This window comes from Homo sapiens, chromosome 10 (genome assembly GCF_000001405.40).
Source record: "Homo sapiens chromosome 10, GRCh38.p14 Primary Assembly".
Lineage (NCBI taxonomy): Eukaryota > Metazoa > Chordata > Mammalia > Primates > Hominidae > Homo > Homo sapiens.
The window spans coordinates 116,619,595-116,645,143 of record NC_000010.11 but is presented as its reverse complement, the minus strand read 5'-3'; the positions used below and the strand labels follow the sequence as shown (position 1 = coordinate 116,645,143).

At 44.3% G+C, this 25,549-nt stretch overlaps 1 pseudogene across 1 annotated transcript, besides 1 other annotated feature; it reads right to left on the bottom strand.

Moving 5' to 3' along the window:
- On the bottom strand, positions 1 to 24,191 carry PNLIPRP2 (pancreatic lipase related protein 2 (gene/pseudogene); annotated as a pseudogene). The gene is made up of 13 exons (NR_103727.2): positions 24,166 to 24,191; positions 23,790 to 23,838; positions 21,045 to 21,199; positions 19,073 to 19,198; positions 18,146 to 18,280; positions 17,270 to 17,381; positions 15,082 to 15,201; positions 13,787 to 13,906; positions 10,185 to 10,303; positions 8,230 to 8,359; positions 6,664 to 6,775; positions 2,862 to 3,029; positions 1 to 110 (listed from the first exon to the last, which is right to left on the bottom strand). The product of NR_103727.2 is annotated as a pancreatic lipase related protein 2 (gene/pseudogene), transcript variant 1, non-coding (transcript).
- Positions 9,806 to 11,005: an enhancer, noted in NCBI's record as "P300/CBP strongly-dependent group 1 enhancer chr10:118393650-118394849 (GRCh37/hg19 assembly coordinates)". NCBI's record gives its function as "activates an origin of replication core promoter dependent on BRD2, BRD4, P300/CBP, MED14 and CDK7 cofactors, with strong dependence on P300/CBP, by STARR-seq in HCT116 cells {active_cell/tissue: HCT116}" and the evidence as "EXISTENCE:reporter gene assay evidence [ECO:0000049][PMID:35650434]".
- Positions 24,192 to 25,549: the final 1,358 nt, after the last annotated feature.

The following is a 25,549-nucleotide window of genomic DNA, read 5'->3' as shown; positions in this document are numbered from 1 at the left end:
CCGAGTGCATTAAAGATTTTATTACCGCAATAGCTGCACCACGTTTTTAACAAGGGTAAAGAGATTGCAAGACGTTTTCTTCCACAGTGTCGCTGCTACAAAAATTATACCTGTGGAGGAAAAGATTGTCAGCATGAGGCTCTTTTGCTTGTGGAAATGTGACTTCAGGTGAGTAAACAGCATTTGGGCAACCCCCTGGATTCGGCTCCCCTTGACCGAAAAGTTCTGCTTTACCAGGCAGAGTCCAAGTAATTCTTACTAACAAAACCTGCTCAAAGAGCACTCCTCTCCCCATGTGGGCTCTGAATGGGTGGAAAGTGAATCAGCCATGTCAAACTGAAGCTTTGCAAACTGCAAAACTGAGGGGACTCTGATGGGACTGCCTCTTTGGGTCTAGCAATGAGTTCCAGGGACCAAGAGTGCCCCAGCCAGCACAGAGGGGACTTTCTCTGTCAAATTAAAATCAGAGAGGGCCCCTCATACACTGCTCTGGAAATGTAAAATGTGGCAGCCACTTTGGAAACAGTTTGGCAATTCCTCTAAAGGTTAAACAGAGTTATCATATGGCCAAGCAGTTCCACTCCTAGGTATATACCCAAGAGGATGAAAACAAAATCTTGTACATAATGTTCATAGCAGCATTATTCATAATAGCCCCCAAGTAGAGACAACCCAAATGACCAACTGATAAATGAATAAATAAAATGTGGCATAGTCGTATAATAGAATATTATTTGACAATAAAAAACAATGCAGTACTGATACATGCTACGTGGATGAACCTTGAAAACGTTATGCTAAATGAAAGAAGCCAGTCATGAAGGACTATATACTGTATGACTCCATTTACATGAAATATCCAGAATAAGAAAACCTACAGAGACGCAAAGTAGATTAGTGGATGCCTAGGGCTGAGAAAAAGGGATGTGCGGGTGGAGGGATGATGGCTAATGGGTCTGGGGTTTCTTTTTAAGGTGATGAAAAGATTTTAACATTGTAGTGATAGTTGCACAACTCTGTGAATATTCTAAAAGCCATTGAATTGCACACTTTAAATGGGTTAATTGTGTTTTATGGGAATTATGGTTCAATAAAATTGCTTAAAAATAAAAAAGATCCTGGAGGGTTATTAACCGTGACAAACTAACTAAGTCAGGTTGGAGCAAGCACCAAGCATGAGAAGCTGGCCACTTCTGGCCTCTTCCTTCCCTTGCAGGTGACTTTGATGCAAGGGGAACAGTGTGGCCAAGCTGGCCTTCCCTCCGGGTTAGCTTCAGAATGTAGCTTCTTGGTGAGAGAGCCCTCATGTGGGCTGGGGACTCTGGTGTTTGGATTATACAGTATGTGTTCTATATTGTACTTAAAACAGGAACTCCACCCCCACTTAAATACTGAGAAATCCAGACATTTTCACATTGCATTGCACTACCAGACCATATGGACTTCTCAGTTTCACATCCAGCTGGCTGAGTTGATGGGCACAGTGGAAAGAACACTGGAGGGGCTGTCAGAAGACCTGGGTCCCAGTCCTTGTTGTGCCTTACAACTGAGCATAGTAGCCCCCCATTATCTGCAGTTTTGCTTTCCATGGTTTCAGTTACCCATGGTCAACTGAGGTCCCAAAATAGGAAATGGGAAATTTTAGAAACAAACAATTCATAAGCTTAAATTACACATCATTCTGAGTAGCATGATAAAATCTTGCTCTGTTCAGCTCTGTCCCACCCAGGACATGAAGTGTCCCTTTGTCCAGCATATTTCCTATTCATATAGTATGTATGAATAGGAAAAAAAATCATAGTATATGTAGGATTGGTACTATTTGAGGTTTGAGGCATCCAACTGGGGTCTTGGATTATATCACCCATCCCCCCAGGTAAGGGGGTCTACTGTACACAAAGTGATGGCACGCTGACTGTGACATCTGATCCTTCCAATAATATACTGAGTAATTGGGATTATTGCCACTTTTACAGCCAGCAAAGTTGAGTCATGCAGCTGAGCTAAGTCTTGGTGTGTGTTTTGAAAACATTCTGAAGTTCAATATTTTTCCCTTTAGATTCCCTACATGACCTTAGACAAGTTACTTGACTTTCCAAATCTTACTTCCTCATCTTAAAACAAGATCAGTTGAGAGTCAACATTTATGTTTCCTTTATTCTCTAATATCCCATTGTTTTTGAATTATCCTCTTTTGAGGTGTCATTCTTTCCATATTTTAAAAACAGTTATATTCTCTCCCAATGCCTACTAAGTAGGATTCTATTCTCTCAGAATGGAAGAACTTGCCACTATGAGCCAGATTCCCAACACAGTGTGTATCCCTCTAATGCTATAGTCTCCAAACAAACCTGTTTACATTAATAACTGCACATCAACTGGAATTAACTCAGAGATTTCCACTATGTGCTTCCCAAGTGTTTTCCTTATTGTTTGAGATAAAATAGTCATTCATATTTGCCCGTTTCTTGAATCTGTGCCTACAATCATTGCCTTGCCCCTGCCAAGTTGAATTTTGCCTAAGGAAAACAACGTTTGGTTTTTCAAAGTAAATCAGATGGATGGATGGAGAGTTGAGATGAACAGCTGGGAAGATGAATGGATGGAGGGAAGATCAAATAATGGCCAGAGGGCCAGAAGAATGATAAGATAGGTGTCTGGGTGGATGGGTAGAGGAATAAGTGAATGGGTAAGTGGCTAAGTGGTTAAAAGGATAGAGAAATGGATAGATGGGTAGATGAATGGATGAGTAGATGGGTACATAGATGAGTAGGTGGGCAATTGGATGAATGAATGCCTAGACAGATAGATCAATATGTAAATATAAATAACCAAACTTAGATGCAATAAAAAATACATACTCAGTCCCATCTTCACCACTTTGCACTGTGATTTGGGAAGCCCCCAGTTTGGGCTCAGATAGATTTATCCCACGTTTGTTCCAGAGGAATTTAACTTTCTGTATTTTTCCAACATTAAAATCCACATCAATAGCACACGTGTGACTTGCATCTGGTTTGAGGGATCCTCTGAAAATATAGACATAAAATGTTATATCAGCTGGATATATGAATACATAACATGATTGCGATCTATCACTTCTCTAAACAATAGTTGCTGTTGTTGGTTTTCTGCAAACACCTTGGATGACTTCATACACATCCAGGGGCTGCCATAACATAAAAGTATTTGTGCAGAACACACCTTTTAAAAATACTGGACTCCAGATTTCCACTGTTTTAGTTTTTACCTACAGCTAAGTCGAATATTTGGGGTGGCATATGAATGCTCTAAGTTTGTTACAGGACTATTTGGGGCAATGTCTTATGTTTAAAGATGCATGTGGTTCAGCAGGTGCCATTTGTTAGCATCTCATGTGTATTACAGGAATTTGTCAAGGACATTTAATTCAACACAAACATTTTTATGTAAAAGTTAGTGCAAAAACAGAACCTAACTTTATTGTACAGGTTATGCATTCATCTAACACATATTTACCAAGCACCTCACATGCCCAGCAGAAGCCAGATGCTGAGGCCACACAGCATGGATGAGATGGCCACAGGCTTCATATGTGTACCTATGTGTGTGAGGATGGGGTGTGTGTTGGGTATGTGCCATACAGATGTGCCTTGCCTGAAGAGATTTTGATATTTACAAAATCCAAGTCAGAAAGAAAACTATAGGCAATATCCCTGATGAACACAGACACAAAAATCCCCAACAAAATGCAAGCAAACCAAATCCAACAGCACGTTAAAAAGATAATTCATCACAATGAAGTGGGTTTTATTCCAGGAATGCAAGGGTGGTTCTACATATGCAAATCAACAAATGTGATTCAACATATAAACAGAATCAAAAACAAAAAACATATAATAATCTCAATAGATGCAGAAAAAGCTTTTAATAAAATCTAATGTCCCTTCATGATAAAAAGCCCTCAACTAACTAGACATCAAAGAAACATACCTCAAAATAATAAAAGCCATATATGACAATCCCACAGCTAACCCTATGTCGAATGGAGAAAAGTTGAAAGCATTCACCCTAAGAACTGGGACTAGACAAGGATGTCCACTCTCATTACTCCTATTCAACACAGTACTGTAAGTTCTAGCCAGAGCAATCAGGCAAGAGAAAGAAATAAAAGGCATCCAATTGGAAAAGAAGAAGTCTACTTATCTCTGTTTACTGATGACATGATTTTATATCCAGAAAATCCTAACAATTCCCCTAAAAGTCTGCTAGGCCTGATAAATCACTTTAGTAAAGTTTCAGAATACAAATTATTGCACAAAAATCAATTGCATTTCTATACACCAAAAATGCTCAAGGTGAGAACCAAATCAAGAACTCAATCTCATATACAATGGCCATACACACAAAATATACCTAGAAATACATTTAGCCAAGGAGGCAAATGAACTCTACAGGGAGCACGATAAACACACTGATGAAAGAAATTGTAGATGACACAAACAAATGGAAAGACATCCCATGCTCATGGACAGGAAGAATCAATATCATTAAAGTGATCTACAGATTCAACACAATTCCTATCAGATTAACAATGTCATTTTTTACAGAATTAGAAAAAACAATTCTAAAATTCATGTTTTAGAATATGAATAAGAAAGAGCCCCAATAACCAAAGCAATCTAAGCAAAAAGAACAAAGCCAGTGGTATAACATTACCTGACTTCAAACTATACTACAAGGCTACACTAACCCAAACAGCATGGTACTGGTACAAAAATAGACACATATATCATTGGAACAGAATAGAAAGCCCAGAAATAAAGCCATACATCTACAGCTAGCTGATCTTTGACAAAGTCAACAAGAATAAACAACGAGGAAAGGGTTATTGAATAAACCTATTCAATAAATGGTGCTAGGATAACTGGTTAGCCATAGGCAGAAGAATAAAACTGGACCCCTATTCTTCACCATATGCAAAAATTAACTCAAGATGGATGAAAGACTTAAATGTGAGACCTGAAACTATAAAAATTCTAGAAGAAAACATAGGATAAAACTCTCCTGTACATTAGCTTAGGTGAGGTGGGTGGATCACCTGAGGAAAGGAGTTTGAGACCAGCCTGGCCAACATGGTGAAACCCCATCTCTGCTAAAAATACAAAAAAATTAGCCAGGCATGGTGGCAGGTGCCTGTAATCCCAGCTACGTGGGAGGCTGAGGCAGGAGAATTGCTTGTACCCAGGAGGCGGAAGTTGCAGTGAGCCGAGATCTTGCCATTGCACTCCAGCCTGGGCAACAAGAGTGAAACTCCATCTCAAAAAAAAAAAAGAAAGAAAGAAAGAAAGAAAGAAGTTATGACTAAGACCTCAAAGCAAATGCAGCAAAAACAAGAATAGACAAATGGGACTGAATTGAACTAAAGATCTTCTGCACATTAAAAGAAGCAATCAACGGAGTATACAGACAACCTACAGAGTGGGAGAAAATATTACAAACTATGCATCTGACAAAAGATTAATATCTAGAATCTATAAGGAACTTAAATCAACAAGAAAAAAACTAACAACCCCATTAAAAAGTGGGCAAAGAACTTCTCAAAAGACATACAAACATCAAGCAAACATATAAAAAAATTCTCAACATCACTAATTATTAGAGAAATGCAAATTAAAACCACAGTGAGATACAATCTCATACCAGTCAGAATGACTATTATTAAAAAGTCAAAAAAAAAATAACAGATGTTGGCAAGGATATGGAGAAAAGGGAATGCTTATACACTGTTGGTAGGGATGTCAGTTAGCTCAACCCCTATGGAAAACAGTATGAAGATTTCTCAAATACCTTGATAGAAAAATAGAACTTCATTTTGACCCAGCAATTGCACTACTGGGTATCTACCCAAATGAAAAGGAATAGTTTATCAGAAAAATACCTGCACTTGTATGTTGATCACAGCAATATTCACAATAGCAAAGTCATGGAATCAACCTAAGTGTCCATCAGTGGTTGATTGGATAAATAAAATTTGGCATATAGACAACATAAAATACTATGCAGCCATAAAAAAGAATGAAATCATGTCTTTTGTAGCTACATGGATGAAGCTGAAGGCCATTATCTTCAGCGAAATAACTCATAAACAGAAAATCAAATACTGCATGTTCTCACTTATAAACAATGGGTACATATGGACATAAAACTGGAAAGAATAGACACTGGGAACTCCAAAAGGAGAGAGGTTGGGATGGGGATAAGGGATAAAATTTATCCATTGGGTTCAATGTTCACCGTTTGGGTAATAGGTTCACTAGAAGTCCAAACCTCACCATTACACAATATACCCATGTAATGAATCTGCACATGCACCCCCTGAATCTAAAATAAAATAAAATAACAAAAAAAGAAAAAACAATCTAGTCAGGTGACTGACATTCCAAAAGGAGTTAGCACATGACTCATTTTAAATAGTGAGTTCCCTCTCTCTGGGCCTCACTCTTCTCATATGTAAAATGGGACAATTGAACTAGACATTGAGACTTTCTTCCAGCTCTGACATTCTAGGATTCAGTGGTTCTGTATAATAGATGCCTAGATTTATAAAGCACTTTATACTCAATCAAGTTTGAATAATCTATTATGGAAAGTATGATCATTTCACATTACCATTGAACTTACTTGAAAATCTCATATTGTTTTGAGTTTTCATTACTTCCATACAAAGCAATCCTGATGTACCCATTCACTTTCTCTTTTCCAGAAAGTGTGACTGATATCTTATATCTTCAACCTGTCCAAAGAAATACAACCCATTTAATGAACTCATCTTATTGAAAAAATGATCTATGAAAATATTATTGTTCCAAGCTCTGAATCCTCCAGGGGTGAGAGGCAATAGGACTGTGACTTAATTGAATTCCTGGGGCCCAGGAATTAAGGGTACATTAGGTTCTAGGTGGGAGCAAGGGACTCAGGGGTCAGTAAATATTATAGTTCAGCACAGTCCCTTATGAACACAGCAAGGTATGTGCTCTTGGATGAATGAAGGGCAGCTGATACTGCACATGTGTATTTTGACTGATACATGGTACAATGGACTGAATTCATGTGGGTAAGAGCCCACATGAATGGGATCAGTAACCTCATAAAAGAGACCACAGAGAGTGCTCTTTTCCTCTTTCCACCACGTGGGAGTATACAGCAAGAAGACAGCAATGTGCAGCAGAACCTGATCATGCTGGCACCCTGGTCTCAGATTTCCATCCTCCAGAACTGTGAGAAATACATTTCTACTATTTATAAGCCACCCAGTCTATGGTACTACATTACAGCAGTCTGAACCAATGAAGACAATGGGTGTGTTGCATGTTGTTTTGTCACTTGCCTTCTTACTTAATACACCTTAGAGGTTTTCTCTCTTCAGTACGCAGAGGTATAACCTTCTTTTTAATGGTTACATGTAGTATTTAATCTATAGTATTTAGTCATTTACAACTGGTGGACATTTAGGTTTTCCCCTCAATCTTTCGCTCTTAAAAATAAAGAGCGAGCATCCTTGATCACATCATCTTATGCACACACGCAAGTATTTCTCTATGGTACACTCTGAGAAGTGAAGTTACTGGGTTAAAGGAATGTGCATATAAGATTTTATAGATTCTGCCAAACTCTTATCTTTTATGATAAATATTTTGAGGATTACAGGAAATACTGTATGTGAAAAGTGTTTTGTAAAGTGCTGATATAAATTTTTAAATTTGAAACTCTCTTAGAAAATAACTGCTCTCCTTTCCAGCCATTATGTGCTATTATTCACAGTAAATGAGTCTTGATAATTTTACTATCTTGTACTTTTAAAATAAGAAGCAGGGCGAAATGACATCACCACAAAGTGTGTGTATGTAGGAGGACTAATATAATAGATAGTCATTACTGCACTGACTTCTTGACTTACAGTGACTTTCACGTTGCCCTCTTCTGTTAATAGATGCATCCTTCCAGCAACAGGGGTGGGTGAACATGTGACCCAGCCTGGGCCAATCATTGTACTTTTCTCTGCTGGTCAGGAGTATTGGTTAAAGGGGTGAGACCCAACACAAATTCCATTTCACTGTCCTTTCATTACAACTTAAGCTTGTTGTAGTTAAGTTTCTATCCATTGTTACCAAGGATACTGACTAATAAGGTTGGCACACTTTTGAAAATTATTCGCAAGAATTTGAAGTGAGTAAAATGGAAACTTACTAGTAAAGTTACCACTCTCTCCTGTGTTCAGGAAAAAGGTTTGTTCCACAGCACTTGTTTTCCCCTTAAATTGGTCAGCATAGTGCCCCATTTTGGGGCATCCTTCAGCTGGACAAGGGAAACACTTACTCTAGTGGAAAAAAAAAACCATAATTTGTCTGTTAGTCAATCAATTCAGCTTCCTTCCTATGTCTATCTACCTATCTACCCATCACCCACCCAACCATCCACCTTTCATTTACCTATGCAACCATCCATCTACTCATCCATCCCTTATCCATCCTTTCATCTACCCATCCATCCATTCTCATACCTATCCACTAATCCATCCATTCCTGCATCTATCTACCCATGCACCCATGCATCCATGTGTCCATCCATTCTCTCATCTACCCACTGACTCATGCACTCCTGCATCTATCTACCCATGCACCCATGCATCCATGCTTCCACCCTTGGAATTGTGCATAGAACTGTGCTAGGCCCTGCAGAGTATCCAAATAAGTGCCTCAAAAACTTGGAATATAGTTGGGAAAACAAGTCATATCCAGGAAGCAGTAAAATTAAAATATGAATGGGGTATGAAATATAATATATGTAGGGAGAAGTGGGAGAGATGGCAAGTTATTTCAAAAGAAGTGAGGAAGGGAAGGTCCAGGACCATTTTCACTTTAATGTGAATTATTTCTCCAGACTTGTTGATTCTTATTTGTTGCTTCTCAAATGATAGTTCTTTAATTAGGCGCAGAGGAGGCAACTTGCTGTCTTTGAATCAGGGATTTGATTGCTTTATGCCACAGTGTCATTGTCCTCTGCTTTTTGACCTCATGCCACATCCAAAATGCATGATGTGTAGAGCTGTTTTGTGATTTGGTAGGAATCAGACAAATACTGGAGGCCATGTTGTTATCCATGACCCAACAAGAACTAGCACAGTGAAGCCTTCTCACTGAACACTCACAGACCTTGGAGATCAAATACGATGTCCTTTTGACCTCAGTTCAACCCAAGAATGTCAAGGTTAAAATTAGTTTTGAAAGGACAAAATGTGAGTTTAAACATCTTAACCAAGTAATTAAAGTTTAAGTCATCAAATAATGAATGAATTTATGTCATCAAATAATAAGTGAACATTAAATGAATCTCTTTAGTTGTAATACACTGAGAAGGACCTGCTATTACTCACTGAAGCACCGCCTAAAAAATCAAACAATTTCAGAGAGTGAGATATCCTGCCAAATACCTGGTCTGAAAGCCTCATAACTGGCAAGTCTTCAAAGACCAAGAAAAAATGGGAAGCTGTTCTTGACTAAAGGTGACTAAAGAGACAACAAAATAATTGCAATGCGAAAAAAAAAAAAAAAAAAAAGAAGAAGAAGGGAAGGAAAGAAAGAAGGCAGGCAAACAGATACAGCTCTAGAGGGCATTATTTGGATAACTGGAGAAGCTTGAATATGTACTATATATTAGAAAATATTAGTGTATCAAAGATACATTTCTTGAATGTTATTCTATAGGAGAAGGATCTTGTTTTTAAGAGATGGAGGCTAAAGTTTTTATAAGTAACATGTCATAATGTCTTTAATTTACTTTCACATAATTTAGAAAAAGTATACATACACACACATATATAAAATATTAGCAACTGGTGCATCTAAGTGACAGGTGTACAGTATTCATCATTATTCTTCTTTCACCTTCTTTGCAAATTGGAAATTTTTCTAAATGAACAACTGGGGACCCTAGTAAGGGCCCAGCACAGTCAGGTCTGTGCCTTCCCCCTCCAGCCCACCCTGCTGCCTGGGGGAAGATGGCTTTGTGAGGTGCAGAATTTCCATTACCTCCCTGCATTAGTTGCAGAGTTACATCTCTTTCTTCTGTTCTAAGCCACAGGAACACAAAAACACCCCAAACAGGGCCAGCAACATCTTCCTCAGCCTCCTGGGGTAACCTACCTCCTGAAACTCATCGTAGGAGGCACAGGGATAGCCCAGGAAGCCATCAGGGTTGAGGACGCTGCTTGAGTAATACTCGAAGCTTCTTAGGTGATTGCAAGACACAAAGCCACCAATTCCTGAAAAAAACAAAGGTCCCGGGAGCTCAAAGGAGGCCTTTCACTTTTAAGTGTGAACAACTCATTCTGACTAAGGAAGAATCACCTGCACATTTCACCGATGGGTGTCGGCTCCTGAATATCTTGGGGCATTTGCTGAGCAGGGACCTACTCAGGGCTAGGTGACTGTGGAGGAGTGACATGTCCTGACAAGCACCTTTGTCCACTCTTCCAGGGGCCAGGCATGTAACACAAATGAATGAGGAGGGCTGGGGGCTGGGAATAGGGTGGGGTGGTGAGGGAGAGAGAGAGAGAGAGAAAGTGATAGAGAGAGGCAGACAGAGGCAGTTGGTCGGGGGAGAGAGAGAGAGTCAGAGAGAGACGAGAGAGTCGGTGGGGGAGAGAGAGACAGAGAGTTGGTAAGGGAAGAGAGAGAGACAGAGACAGAGAGTCAGAGAGAGATAGAGAGAGTTGAGGGGGAGAGAAAGAGAGAGCATCAGAGAGAGACAGAGAGTTGGTGGGGGGAGAGAGAGAGACAGAGAGTCAGAGAGGGACAGAGAGCCGGTGGAGGGGGAGACAGAGAGACAGAGACAGAGAGAGAAATGGAGAGAGAAAAAGAAACACAAAAAGAGATAGTGATGAGAAAGAGAGAGATTCAGAAAGACAGAGAGAGAGGATAGATAGACAGAGGAGAGATGCAGAGACAGAGGAGAGAGACATAGAGAGGGTATACGTGTGTGTGTATATATATAGTATATATACACACATACGCTATGATATATACAAGTGTGTGTATGTATATATATACACACACATATATATGTATATATGTATATATATACACACACATATATGTATATATGTATATATATACATACTATATATGTATATATGTATATACACATACTATATATGTGTATATACGTATATACACATACTATATATGTGTATATACGTATATACACATACATATATGTGTATATACGTATATATACACATACTATATATGTGTATATATGTATATATACACATACTATATATGTGTATATATGTATATATACACATACTATATATGTGTATATATGTATATATACACATACTATATATGTGTATATATGTATATATACACATACTATATATGTATATATGTATATATATGTGTGTATATATGTATATATACACATACATATATGTATATATGTATATATATGTATATATACACATACATACAGAGAGAGAGAGAGAGACTAAGAGAAGATAGCAATAGCTGTAAAAAGGGCCCCTCTAACCCTACACAGTCTAGCCAGGTGTCACATGTTCAAAGCCCCAAATCGCCTGGTCCTCTGATTTTTTCATAAGAAGCCAGGATCTCCACTTCTACCTGAAAACCTTCGCATGCGTGAGTGAAGGCAGCGCATCCCCATCTTAAAAACAGTTACCATGCCGGCCCATCCAATGCTGCTGCAGACCGCATCCTATCCCTGTGAGGATCCCTGTGAGGACATACCGGGCAGGCCTTCCCCATCAACCAGGCTTTTTGATTCTTCCTCTTTGCTATGCAGGGCACAAGGTAAAAGCGGTGATGGCAAGGTGGCCATGGCCTCTGGCCACTCTCTTACTGCATTTTATTTATCATCCTTTTCTTTAGAAAAAGTCCGGAAAGGTGTTTTTTCATTTCTCTGGCTACTTGGTAGAAAACTTCCCATGGAGAAATGCACAGTGACCCTGGCACACCTGCGGACCACTCCTGGGGGGTCTGCGGGGCTTTATTGCCACCCACTGAGAAAGGAACACTTCCCTTTGTGCCCAGGGTGGCTTCGTACTCCACGGCTCCCGGCCCTCGGCCCAGCGACTTCTAGCTGAAGCCACGTTCCCTGTGCCCACACTGGTGCTCATCACTGGACAACAGAACCTGTTTCAAACTTAATTGTTTCTTTCATCCAAAATTGCTGCCCTGGGACCCCATAATGGAGGAGAAAGTGGATTTAATTATTCCTCAGTGCCCACTGCCTGGATGACTCGGAGCTTGACACAATAGAAACACACTCCAGTGCTCATGGGCTTGTTCACTCGACATTGCTTCTCTAATTAAACCTGGACTCGTTCCTATTATGTGTGCCTTGCTCATCGTTTGTGGGAGGGGGCAGCTATTATTGTGACTCTGGTGTGCTTTCAGGGAGCCTGGAATGGTCACATCTCCCCAGGAGTTACCTGAGAGGGCAAAAGCTCCGTTTATTTGCCGGTGGATGCTGGCGATCGCTTTATCGACTCTGCTCTTTGACATTAAGCACATGGAATATTAAAATGCCACACAAGGCTACTCAACTCAATTTAAAAGTATATTTCGTGCCTGCTTTGGATGAGGCCCTGAGCAGGGTACTGGAGTGTCTGAAATGTGCAAAACATAGTCCTTGGCCTTGGGGAACTCCCAGCTCAGAAAAATAGACTAAAATTATCACAGGCCCAAAACCTCTCTTTTCAGGGAGGAGAGTGAAGCCTGGTGTCAGGGGAGGGGCAACAGGAATCAAAAAAGGCCAGAGCAAGGGGCAGCAAATCAGATGGGGCTATGAGGTCGCCTAATGGCAGGGCATGGGCCGTGCTCTCTCAGATGAACAGAAATGTACACAGCTGGCCAGCAGCCACCATGGGTCTCCCAGACCTCCAGGCCTCCCCCTCCTACACGTGTACCCCAAACCCACAGAGCACATCCCTCCTTTGTCTTCTTCTCAGCAAAGTCCCCTTCCATTTCTAGCACCCAACAACAGCAACCAGCAAGCAAGTCAAGGCCTTCAAATCTTGGCCTATGTCCTGCAGTTCTTCAAGGAGCAGGTGCTGCAGGTAGGATAGGTGGTCAAAGCCAGAGCCAACATGCCAGCCAAGCCGCTGTCCCAGGATGCCGACAACAGGGAGATACACAGGCTGGGGCATGAGCTCAGGGCTTTATAGTTAGAAATTGGGCTTAGATATAGAGCGGCCTTGAATGAGCTATGTAACTTTTTTTATATATATATTTCGAGACAGTCTCACTCCGTCACCCAGGCTGGTGCAGTGGTGCTATCTCGGCTCACCGCAACCTCCACCTCCTGGGTTCAAGTGACTCTCATATCTTAGCCTCCTGAGTAGCTAGGACTACAGGCGCATGCCATCACATTCAACTAATTTTTGTGTTTTTAGTAGAGATGGGGTTTCACTATGTTGGCCAGGCTGTCCTTGAACTCCTGACCTCAAGTGATCTGCCTACCTCAGCCTCCCAAAGTGCTGGGATTATAGGCATGAGCCACCACGCCCAATTGAGTTATGTAATTTTTCGGATCCTCAGTTTTTGGATCTGCAAACTGGAACTAATCAGAGTAACTATCTCATTGCATTGCTGTGAAAATGCCTGGCACATTTTCACAACACTCCATAAACGGTGGCAAATGTCAGCATTATGAAGGCCAGACCATGCATTCTGCTTTCTCCCCGAACAGAGCAATTGCTGTCTTACTTCTTTAATTTACATACCTTCCCATATTCCATCAATATCAGTAATGGTTGAAAGGACATTTTTCTTACATCCGGGCATTTCCTTTCCTCCATTTGGAAAGAAATCCAGATGGCCCACCTTTTGGCTCATTCCGAAACCTAAAATATTTGAAGCAGAGATGAGCGGCGAGGTGACTGGTGCCAAAGTTAGGGTGTGGCCACAGCAAGACCCTTTTTGGCAAATTCTCCCTTTATCACAGCTACCACTGCCTCTAGCTCTGCAGAAAGTTCTCAAAGATGGGTGCTTGGCAAGATGAGGACGGAGGAGAGGGCAGAGGAAGTGAGATGAGGGGGAGGCTGAGCTTTGGGTGAGTGAGACACATACATTTGGATGTGCATCTGTGTGTCTCGGAGAGTCTTGGACCATATTGATATGCCCTGCTACCATTATGCACCAGTAGACCTATCAAGACTGGTGCAATTTGTATTACTTTACTCATTTTAAAATTTTGATGTCTACATTATATTGTTATGTGGAGACTACATAACATTATATTGTTATATTGTGAGCCGTAGCATATGGCTAGGCTCTTTGGCTTTCAAAGCATATGAACCCGTGATCAAATCCTGGTTTTACTTACAGATTTTGTGATCTGGGTCAATTACTTAACCTAATTGAGCCTCAGTTCCTCAGCCATGAAATGGTGGTAATAAAGCCCACTTTTTAGAGTGTTACAGAATTGACAAGCTAATGTATGCAAAATGTTCAGTGTAGCACATGGTAAACACTAAGTAAGTGATAACATCATCATCATCATCATCAAAAACATACCCTTTATTGGCAAGTTTCATGAGTGGCTATATAAGAAAATATTGAAAAAAAAACACTGATTTTAGAAGAATTAAAGAATGGGATAAAGTTGCCAACAAAACAAAGTGTAACCAAAGCTTTGACTGAAGAAGTAAGAAAAATATTCAAAAATTAACTTCGTATTTTGCAAGTACAGGTCAAGTTTTAAGAATGAATACATCTGCCCCACTAGTTACTGGTAGATTGGGGAAGGATGCAGAGTTTGAAGATTGATTGACAACCTTTCATAGACTACAGAAGGGTTTTTGTTTAACCCAGGGCTGCACGCTGATTCCACTGGCATTGAACTAGCTATTTATTTGGGACTGGTACCCATTTTGACTGGTTGGTGCCCAAGCCATTCCTGTAGCTATTTCAAATGGCCTCCCCTGCTGTGTGTGTATGTATGTGTGAGAGGGGATATCTGGACCCAATGTCATTAGCTGTAGCACAGGTCAGCAGGAGATGGGATTGAGGAACTCACCTAGGGAAGGAACTATGGGAGAAGAATCTGTGTGAATCACATCCACAAACACGGCGTCAGATGGATCCAACCGAACCTCCTCAGGTTCATCCTGGAAGCACGGCCCTGCTGGATCCAGCCCTGAAAGGGAGAAGGTAGGCAGGCTGGACTCTTAAGAACTGGGATTTAAAGCCAGTACTGGCAGACTAAGCATGAGGATTCCTCCTACCCCAGCAGCTATGGTTCTGGGGATTGGGTCTGCAGTTCTTGGTCTGCCTGGGAGAGAGAGTCTGGGACAGAAAGGCTGGGAATGGGGTCATTGCCTGTGGATGAACATTCAGAAATACCCAGTGCCTGGCTCCGTGGAGGATCTGGGTAGCCTCCGTACACCCCTTCTTTCCCTTTTTCTTTTTGTCCTCACACATTACCATTTGGCCACTGCTCTCAGAGACTGCAAGACCCCAGGCCTTACCCAGCTGCTAGCATCTACTCCTTTGTTTGGCTCACGCCATTCTCCAGCCTGCTGTGCTCTTTCCCACATTCTTCCTTTATCTAAATCTTTCTCCTCCAAACCCAGCTCACACACCACCTCCTCATGGTTAAATGGAAAATCTAACCCCTCTCCTTTCTCAGCCCATTCCATCCACTTTGTATTATGCTGTCCCCAGGTCATCTTCAGAGAGAAACAGAGCGTGGGAGGAGGGGGCACACAGTGGCCTGTATTCTTGCCCTAGTTCTACTCCAGGTCAAATGTCTGCCCTCTCTGAGCTTCTGTATCCTTATCGGGAAAGCAGGAATAATGACAACCCCTACCTTACAGAGTCGTTGTGAAACCCTCATGAAGAGATGTAAGAGAAGGGACTTTGCAAACTGCAAAATTCTACATAAACACAAACCAATACCCCCTCATCCTTCACCCAGTGCCTTGGGCAAAGGGACGCTCATTAAATGTTGATGTGAACTGTTTGGTGAAGTTACAAACTGATTTGGCTGCACAAAATTAAGTTATTTGTGTCTTTGCCTTATATGCATTCAGTTTAGTGCTTCATTCATTCATTCAGTATTTACTGAGCGCCTTCTATATGGCAGGTCTCAGTGTGCATTTGCATTTTCTGTCTTTGCCTGGCGCAGTAGAGACATTCAAACAATTACGTGGAACTGACGAATTTTTAAAACCATCTCACATTTTTTCTTTTACTTTGCCATACTCTGAAAATAATAGCTCTTAAGTCATGGATTTAATGTGCTAGTTAAATCTTTCTCCTTTTCTTTTCTTTCTTTCTTTTTTTTTTTTTTTTTTTTTTTTTTTGTTTTTTGAGGTGGAGTCTCGCTCTGTCGCCCAGGCTGGAGTGCAGTGGCACGGTCTCCGCTCACTGCAAGCTCCGCCTTCCGGGTTCATGCCATTCTCCTGCCTCAGCCTCTCGAGTAGCTGGGACTACAGGTGCCCCCCACCACACCCGGCTAATTTTTTGTATTTTTAGTAGAGACAGGGTTTCACCTTGTTAGCCAGGATGGTCTGGATCTCCTGACCTCGTGATCCACCCACCTCGGCCTCCCAAAGTGCTGGGATTACAGGCGTGAGCCACTGCGCCCGGCCTCACTTTTCTCCTTCCCTCCCCTCCCTCCCTCTCTCTCTCTCTCTCTCTTTCTTTCTTTCTTTCCTTGCCTCCTTTCCTTCTTTTCTTTCCTCCTTTCTCTTTTTTTTTTTTTGAGATACAGTCTCCCTTTATTACCCAGGGTGGAGTGCAGTGGAGCTATCACAGCTCCCTGCAGCCTGGAACACCTAGGCTCAAGCAGTCCTCCCACCTGGGCCTTTCGAGTAGCTGGGACTACAGGCAGAGCCATCACCCCTGGCCAACTTTAAAAATTTTTTATAGAGACAAGGTTTCACCATGTTGCCAAACTGGTCTTGAACTCCTGGCCTCAAGCGATTCTCTCGCCTCAGCCTACAAAAGTGCTGGGATTACAGGTGTGAGCCAGTGGCCCAGCCTTTGTTTTAAAAAATGAATGCATTTTTATTTTTAATTATCTATTTTCTAATACACATTATGGAAAATTATTTTTAAATTTAAGGCCGGTCATCACAAAAAATCGGGTCCCCAGGAGGACCATCAGGGGCGCCCTTCGCCGTCGGAAAGGCGCTGGCCGAGGCTTCCGAGGTGCGCACCCGGGGGCCTGGGACTCCGGCCCGGGGCCCCGCGACCCCTACCTGTGATCCTGCCCACGCGGCCCCCCAGCCTCCTGCCCGCCTCCGCGGCCGTGTGCGCGCCCAGGCTGTGGCCGATGACATGCACGTCCTCAAGGCTGTACCCTAGCTGCGTCTGCGGAGGGATAGCGTGTCAGGTCCCACAGCACCGCGTGGGGACCCGCTGGTCTGAGAGCGGGGCGCCGGGCCCTGCCAGGGATGGGGGCAGGACCCGGGCTCGAGCACGCCGCCTGGGGCAGGGCGACCCCGCTTCCTATTTGCAGCCTGCGAGTCCCGCAGGCCGGCTCGTGCGCGGGGCAACAGTGCTGACCAGCGGCCACCACGCCAACTGCAGGCCACCTGGGCGGGCGTGGCACACGGCCTGCCGCCCGGGACTGCCCCACCCCCAGCTCCCTTTCCTCGTCCCTGCCAGGGGTATGGCCTGTCTGGGCAAGCACGGGTAGAGTGGGCCCTATCTCTGGCTCCCCCCGCCCCCTCCCGATAGATCCTGCAGAAAGGTCCAGGGCCTTCCCTCGTGGGCTGGCGAAGGATGAAAACTCATCTTCTGCACTGGGAGCTGCGGGGCAGCCCAGCCTGCTCTCTGACCCTTGCAGAACAGCCTGCAAGGAAGGTCTATTTCAAAAGGGGAAACCAAGGCTTAGTTTGCCTCAGGCCCCACAGCTAGACAGTGATAGGGCAAGGTGTCTTCAGGACAGCAGGCAAAGAGGAAGGTTGCAGAGCTTCATCTTGGGAATTGCCCTTCTTGATTGCAATCTGGGCTACTAGCTGCCGGCCCCTACCCATGCCCACGGGTCCCCAGGCTGCCTCTCCATGCCACGTGGTACCTCCCTGCCCCTCTCTGACCCCTACCCACAGGACAGGGCCCAGGCAGGGTTTTACCGACAGTGCTTGTATTAAGAAAGCTGTCTCCGCCCCAACAACCCGAATGTTTTGCACGGCTTGGGTGTACATTGCCCGGGACCCGTGCCTCCAGTCCACACAGATGCAGTTCACCTTCTCCACTTCAAACATTTTCTGGGGAAGACAAACAAGGGAGAGAAATCAATTTATAAACAGCCCCCAGGTGCACACCCCAGAGATAGGCATTCACGTCTGTCAAACACCTAGCCCATGCCAGAGCTTTGATGTTCTTATACCTGCCATAACGTCACCCTCACTGCAGTGCTATGGACTGGACATGCTAGTACCCGCTTAACAGATATGGAAACTGAACCCTGGAATGGGTGAGTGACGTGTCTGAGGTCTCACACATCGTTAGGAACACAACCAGGTTAAAAAGACCACTTACTAAATCAGGTGTGAGCAGACTACTACTACTCAATAACATGTCAAATTCAGCTCCTCGTTTGCACCAGCCACATTTCAAGTGCTGAATAACTTATGTGGCCAGTGGCTTCTGATTTGGACAGTGCATATATAGAACACCTTCATCACTGCAGAACATTCTATTGGATAGCGGTGCTTTAGAGGGTAAAATTTAAGTGTTTTTAACATCACAAAGGGGTTTTACATAAGTCCTCAGGGATAAATGCCCAGCAGTTTGCTGCAGTCTCCACCTCGAGACTTTTTGACTGAACTCTGGGTGTCTTCAGCCTCATAGGAGATTGTTGGCTAGAAATTGGTAGGTAGAGAGAGCTTGGTAATGGATGCCCTTTGGAACTGGGCTTTCCTCGGTGGTTTTAAAAAGGACCCATCTCTCTCTGAAGTATTTCTTTTCCCAGTCTAAGGGAAACTGGGGGTACAGTGTTTGAATCTGTGTGTTGGGTGCTGGTCTCACCAGGGAGTGGCCAAGTGGTAGGGCCCTACCTTGCACATGTCCGATGGCCAGCTGTCCTCCGCCTTGTCTAAGAAGCCATGGATGATGAAGCGTGTCTTGCGGTCCAGTTGGAAGTTTGAAGCCTCAATGGTGTCTGGTTCCGTGCCAGTGATTAGCTGGTTTAATTTAAAAAGATTAATTTGAATGTTGCCCTTTCCAAGCCACGAGTCTATTAGAGCCAGTTTCAGAATTGATATCACAGCTTCAATGCCCACAAAGCTGGGTCAGACTAGAAGGAGCTCCTGACCTGGGGTTGTGGATAGATTTCAGAAAGTCCAAATTCACAGACTTTCTATTTTAGTTAATCCTTAATCCATATCTAGCATTTCAGTTAATCACAAAACTAGACAATAAACCACAGTGGTATTAGCAACACCTGTGACTCTGTCCCCGGTAGAAGTCACAGGTATTTTCAGGTCATAATGTAATTATTGCAGATATCTAAAAATATCATTTATACTCATTAATATTTTAAATTATAGTAGTTATTAGACCAACCCCTAGATCTTGTTATTTAATGATATATAAAAAGCACATATATGACTATATCACATATTTATATATTTAAATGTTTTGGTAATTATTTTTCAATATAATTCGTTTCTTTTGTAATCCAATATATTTTATTTCTGCATTTAAAAACATTGACCTGGCCGGGCACGGTGGCTCACGCCTGTAATACCAGCACTTTGGGAGGCTGAGGCAGGCGGATCACAAGGTCAGGAGATCGAAACCATCCTGGCTAACACGGTGAAACCCCGTCTCTACTAAAATTAGCTGGGTGTGGTGGTAGACACCTGTAGTCCCAGCTACTCAGGAGGCTGAGGCGGGAGAATGGCATGAACCCAGAAGGCAGAGCTTGCAGTGAGCCGAGATCGCGCCACTGCACTCCAGCCTGGGTGACAGAGCAAGACTCTGTCTCAAAAAAAACAAACAAACCAACAAAAAACAACAACAACAAAAAATTGACCTAAGAAGGGGCCTTTAGGCTTCTTCCAGGTGGCCAGAGAGGTTCCTGGCACAGAAAAGGTGAGGAACCCCTGGACCAGAAGCTTAAGTGTGGGAGCAAATTCAGTTCAGTGGAGCTGTGAGACTTTGGAATGCACTTCTAAATTGCCACAGGCTGCTCGACCCCCTTCTACCAACCCCTACAGATGAGACGCCAGAAGATGCCACCAACCTCTACAGATGAGATGCCAGAAGATGCCACCAACCCCTACAGATGAGACGCACCGTAACCATGTCCAAGCCGACTCTGGGCTGGGGGCACTAAGAAGGCTGGTCTGTCAGATAGAGTCCCACAGTGGGTGACCTCAGAAACCTATTGACAGCACCTGGCTCCCTAAACTCTGTCAGGGACCAGAGCTGTGAGCTGCTGGATTCTCAGCAATGTCTTTCTTGAAACTGTCTCCTGGTCACTTCTGACACTCTGGAGCAAGTCTGATCTGCTTCTGATGGGCAGACCTGCTGAAAACTGGAGGTTGCTCCAGAGGACCTCATCTTTTATCTATTGTGGCTACATGTCCCCTCTCCCCTACCTGTCTCCTAGCTCTTCAGGAAGAATTTACACCCACCCCCACCCCCAATGCCCAAGAGGCTTCTCCCCCTCCACTCTCCTGTGTAGAAACGAGGCAGACTTTCCGGTGGCTACACCAGGCCTGGGCTTCTCCATAAATGCTGCTCATAGTCCCTTCCTCCCAGGGAACAAGGCATTTACGCTGGGGTAGCCCCTGAAGTTCTCTGCACCAGTGTGTGTGAATGTGTAAGTTTCTGGGTTAGGCATCAGTAGATTTCATCAGATACTCAGGTGTTTATGATCCTGAGAGCTACGCCTTGGATTCTATGCCTTGGAGTTTCTGGAAAATTCCAGGGCAGTGACTTATGCCCTAGACAGCCATGCAAAGACTCCACTGTGGCGGCCCAAATACACCCACCATGCAGCGCTTACATGCCTGCTCTTACTTGGAAGTTGTTTGGATTTTCATTTGTGTACAGAAGAAAGCGGGTGTCAATGTCCTCGGGGGACCAGGGAAGTAATTTTACAGGTCGCTGAAGGGTTCCTGCCCATGGTTTTTCATCAGAAAAGCAGCCAAGTTGTCCGTAGCAGACCTCTTTTCCTAGGGTGAGCCACAAACAGGACATGTGTGAACTTCTGGAAAGAAGCAACGTCATATCCATACAGGAAAACTCTGCAGGACAGAGCCCAGGTTTGGCTAAGGCCAGTGCTGGTCTTTATCTTTGCCATCATTTTCCAAACCTCTGGGATGATAAGAATCACCTGGGGGCTGCGGCGTCGCGGGGTGGGAAGGGCGGGTGGGGGCAGGCGGCAGTATGGGGAACAGGTGTATTGTACATACACATTCATAGGTCCCTCCCTCAGAGATTCTGGTTCAGAGGGTCTGGGGTGGGGTCCTAGAAACACATATTCAGTAAGTGCCCCTTACCATTAGGCAAATTGGGGAATTGCTGATGCATAGGTTGGTGCAAAATAATTGCGGTTTTTGCCATTACTTTCAATGGTAAAAACCACAGTTACTTTTGCACCAACCTAATACAAACTGCTGCCTTAAAACCACCTCTTTCAGGAAACTTGCAGCTGACTCTTTACATGTAAGCATCAAATAGTGAGTATTTATCGAGTGCCTACAAACTCTGTAGCACAGAGTTGCTACTTTGTCTTGACATCTCTATTACACACAGCATAGGCCGTGCCCACACCAATTCACATGTCTTCATGTCATCCTTTTATGCACATTTTTTTGAAAGGGTGATTCTCTGCCGTTTCATATTTTCTCTTTTGCTCTTTGAAAAAGTAAGTTTCTTAAGAACAGGAATGACTTGTGTATCACACTACGTGTAGTAGAGACTCAATACATGTAATCCATGATCCAAGTAACCACATCTAAGTCTGAGAGTACTTTCTGTGTCCATGACATAAACATGATCACAGGATATGGTCACTACGGGTGACATAATTCCAACCCAAAGGATTATAATGGGTCCTTTCTCTTATGCTTCCTCAACTCCTGTACTGATGATGCCAAATATTGGTGAATCATTAAAAAAATGCATAATAGTTTATATTTGTTTACTATGTGCCAGATACCATGTTAGTACTTTACTGGTATAGTATCATTTAAGCCTGAAAACACAAATATGGAATTAGTATTATCTCCATTTTACTGCTGAGGAAACCAAGGCACAGAGAGACAAGGTAAGCTACCTGAGGTCACAGCTAGTGGTGGAGGCAGGATTTGAACCCAAGAAGTTTAACTGGGAATAAAGCTAGAACTTGAGGGGACACAAAGATAAATGAGATATGAACCCTGTCCTGAAAGGGAGGAGCTCTAATAGGGAAGCAATACTGATGGCGTTGAATTCATTCCAGGAAGAGGGTGCACCCTTGGAGGTGGACTCTAGGAGGCTTAAGCAATGTTTGCCCCAGGGGAAAGGTAGCTGGTTAAATGAAGGGGCTCGAATGCAAGACACCTGGGCTCTCTTAAGTGGAGAGCAGGAAAGTGTTGGAAGGTGTGAGTTGGTGAGGTTGAGGGGAGGTGGTGGTGGCAGTGGCAATGCTGTGCTTCCACAGGCAGTCCTGTGTTTTTGGGACTCGAGTACAGGGGGCTGAAAAGCAGAAAAGCCTGAGAAGGCTGGGGGCAGGGAAGTGAGAGTGAGGCTTGAGGCTTGAGGCTTGGCCCTGATAGGGCTTCTTGCAACTCGGGAAGACCAGGAAGCTGGGCAAGAAGGAAGGCCCTAGGAGGAGAGAGATGAGGAGAGAGCCTGGCGTGAGCCTTGGGGAATGTCCACATTTGGGGCAGGAGGAGGCTGCAGGTCAGCAAAGGAGATGAAGAGGGGTTGTATGGCCGGAGGAGCAGTCGCACCCACCCCGGTCTCTGCCGTCAGGAGCCTGGCCTTAATTCATGGCCAGGATGGAAGGAGAGGCCAAGAGTGGGCTGGCGGGGTTGAGAAGACAAGGGGGAAGAGTCACAAGGCAGAAGAAAGCCCCCACAGGGACCCAAGGAGACCATGTCTCCTACAGCAGGACTTGGGGGACCAAATTGGGCAGTGAGGTATTCTGGCAGGAGAGGAGGTGAGGCAGCCCCCACGGAGAGGGAAAGACTCCCGGAGGAAGCACGCCTGTGAAGGCGTAGGCAGATGGGAAGTCAGCAGGCTGGGGCTCAGGGGGCTCCAAAAGAAACGGAGGTGATTTGTGTTTTAGGATAAGTAGAACTTGAATATCTGTATCTCCTCTGGACAGAACCAGGTCGGGGGAACAAACTGGAGAGACAGAAACGGTGACTCTGAGAAGAGGACACGTGGGCTTGATGGCAGAAAGGCAGGCTTGCCTGGCAGGACTGGGCTTTCTTGGGAGAGGGCACATCCACATGACTTTGGTCTGCAGGCAAGGACAAGGGCATTGGGATCAGGTGGGAACACCACACCCTCCACTTGTCTCCCAGCCGTGAGAGTCTTTGCAGGAAGAAGGTGGCCAAGTAGGAGGGTTACGGGAGATACTCTGTGTCCGGCACGTTGCCCTGTGTCTGCCTGAGAGTCAACACTCTCTGAGTGGCACAATTGTTTTCTCCAAGTAACGATAATGCTCTTCATAATCATTATAATAATTATTAATATACCTCTAGCTGCCTCACCAAAGGCCAGCCCAGGCATGTCACTTTCTCCCTAAAGGAATGGTGACAGCATCCTCACCTCTGACTGTGGCCAGCAGGAGAAGGCCGAGGGTCCAAGGGGGCAGCATCTACATGGATGGAAACACAGACACACACAGACCCATGCGCACAGTGAGGCTGGCAGGGGCAGGACCCAGCTGGGTCAGGAGCCCGGGTCACAAGGACAGTGAGTAGAACAGACGCCCCGCAACCCGGGCCCCACAGGGCTCTCCCTTGAGGTGGGGACCCTGAGGCTGAGTCCTCCCAGTGCACAGGGAGTTAGACAGCAGCACACTAGGACCCTGGACTCAGGGGCTCCACTGTGGTGGCTTCCCCGCCTCTGGGCCACGTCCCTCTTGTAGCCTGGGCTGCCCCCGCCCTGCCAAATCCCCTGCTCACATGGGGCCCTGACTTACCATGCTGCACCAGAGCTTCCACTCACAGCCCAGCAGGTTGGCTGTGGCCTTTTATAACCAGGCTTTATCCTTTGGACTCCTTAGAGGAAAGGCCGGGGCAGGATAGATAAGGCACTGCACGTGGGCGCTTTGAACCTAACTTATCGTAAACACATAAAACCAACTCAACCCTGGGAGCAGCAATGTTTATTAAGTAAGATTCAAGGAAAGGAAAACCAACTTTGGGAAGGGAAAGAGCTCTGTTAATCTGAGTTTACAGGTTTAGTTGCCAAGAGATTGTGTTCCCAAAGTGGTAACAGGGAAACATCATGCCGCGCATAGCATCTCTGGAACAAAATCCCTTTGGACACATGATCCCCCAAACCCATCGTGTCGTCCTGTTGCTCTTGACAGATTGTGCGGGCCTAGGAAGTCAGGAGACTTGTTGCTCAGTGGAACTGACTGTTTTTGAAGACAGACACCTTACTTACTTTGGGGGTGGGGTAGGTGGAGGGCTACCTTCCCTATTAGAGAGTCTAGACAGAGGACAAAAATGAACGCAACCTCACAGACGAAGCTCCAAAGAATAAAATGAGGCCAGGCGCGGTGGCTCACGCCTGTAATCCCAGCACTTTGGGAGGCTGAGGCGGGCAGATGATGAGGTCAGGAGATCGAGACCAACCTGGTTAACACGGTGAAACCCCATCTCTACTAAAAATACAAAAAATTAGCCGGGTGTGGTGGTGGGCCCCTGTAGTCCCAGCTTCTTGGGAGGCTGAGGCAGGAGAATGGCGTGAACTGGGGAGGTAGAGTTTGCAGTGAGCTGAGATTGCGTCACTGCACTCCAGCCTAGGTGACAAAGCGAGATTCTGTCTCAAAAAAAAAAAGAATAAAATGAACATGAACACTGTTCAAATACAACTTTGTTTAGAAATAATATAGCTTGTTTTAAAAGTGTTTCTGAGCTGCACAGACTGTACCTTGACCTGGAGATAAGAAGGGGAGGTATTTTCTTTTCTTCACTGCTACAGAAGAACCTAGGTGAATAACCAGGTGCCATCCTGCCATGTTTTAAATGGGTGTGTAATTTAGATACACCAAACTGCATACATCTTAAGTTGAAAATGTAAGTACAGGCCAGGCGCGGTGGCTCACGCCTGTAATCCCAGCACTTTGGGAGGCCTGGGTGCGTGGATCACAAGGTCAGGAGATCGAGACCATCCTGGCTAACATGGTGAAACCCCGTCTCTACTAAAAATGCAAAAAAAAAATTAGCCGGGTGTGGTGGTGGGTACCTATAGTCCCAGCTACTCGGGAGGCTGAGGCAGGAGAATGGCATGAACCTGGGAGGCGGAGCTTGCAGTCAACCGAGATCCCGCCACTGCACTCCAGCCTGGGCAACAGA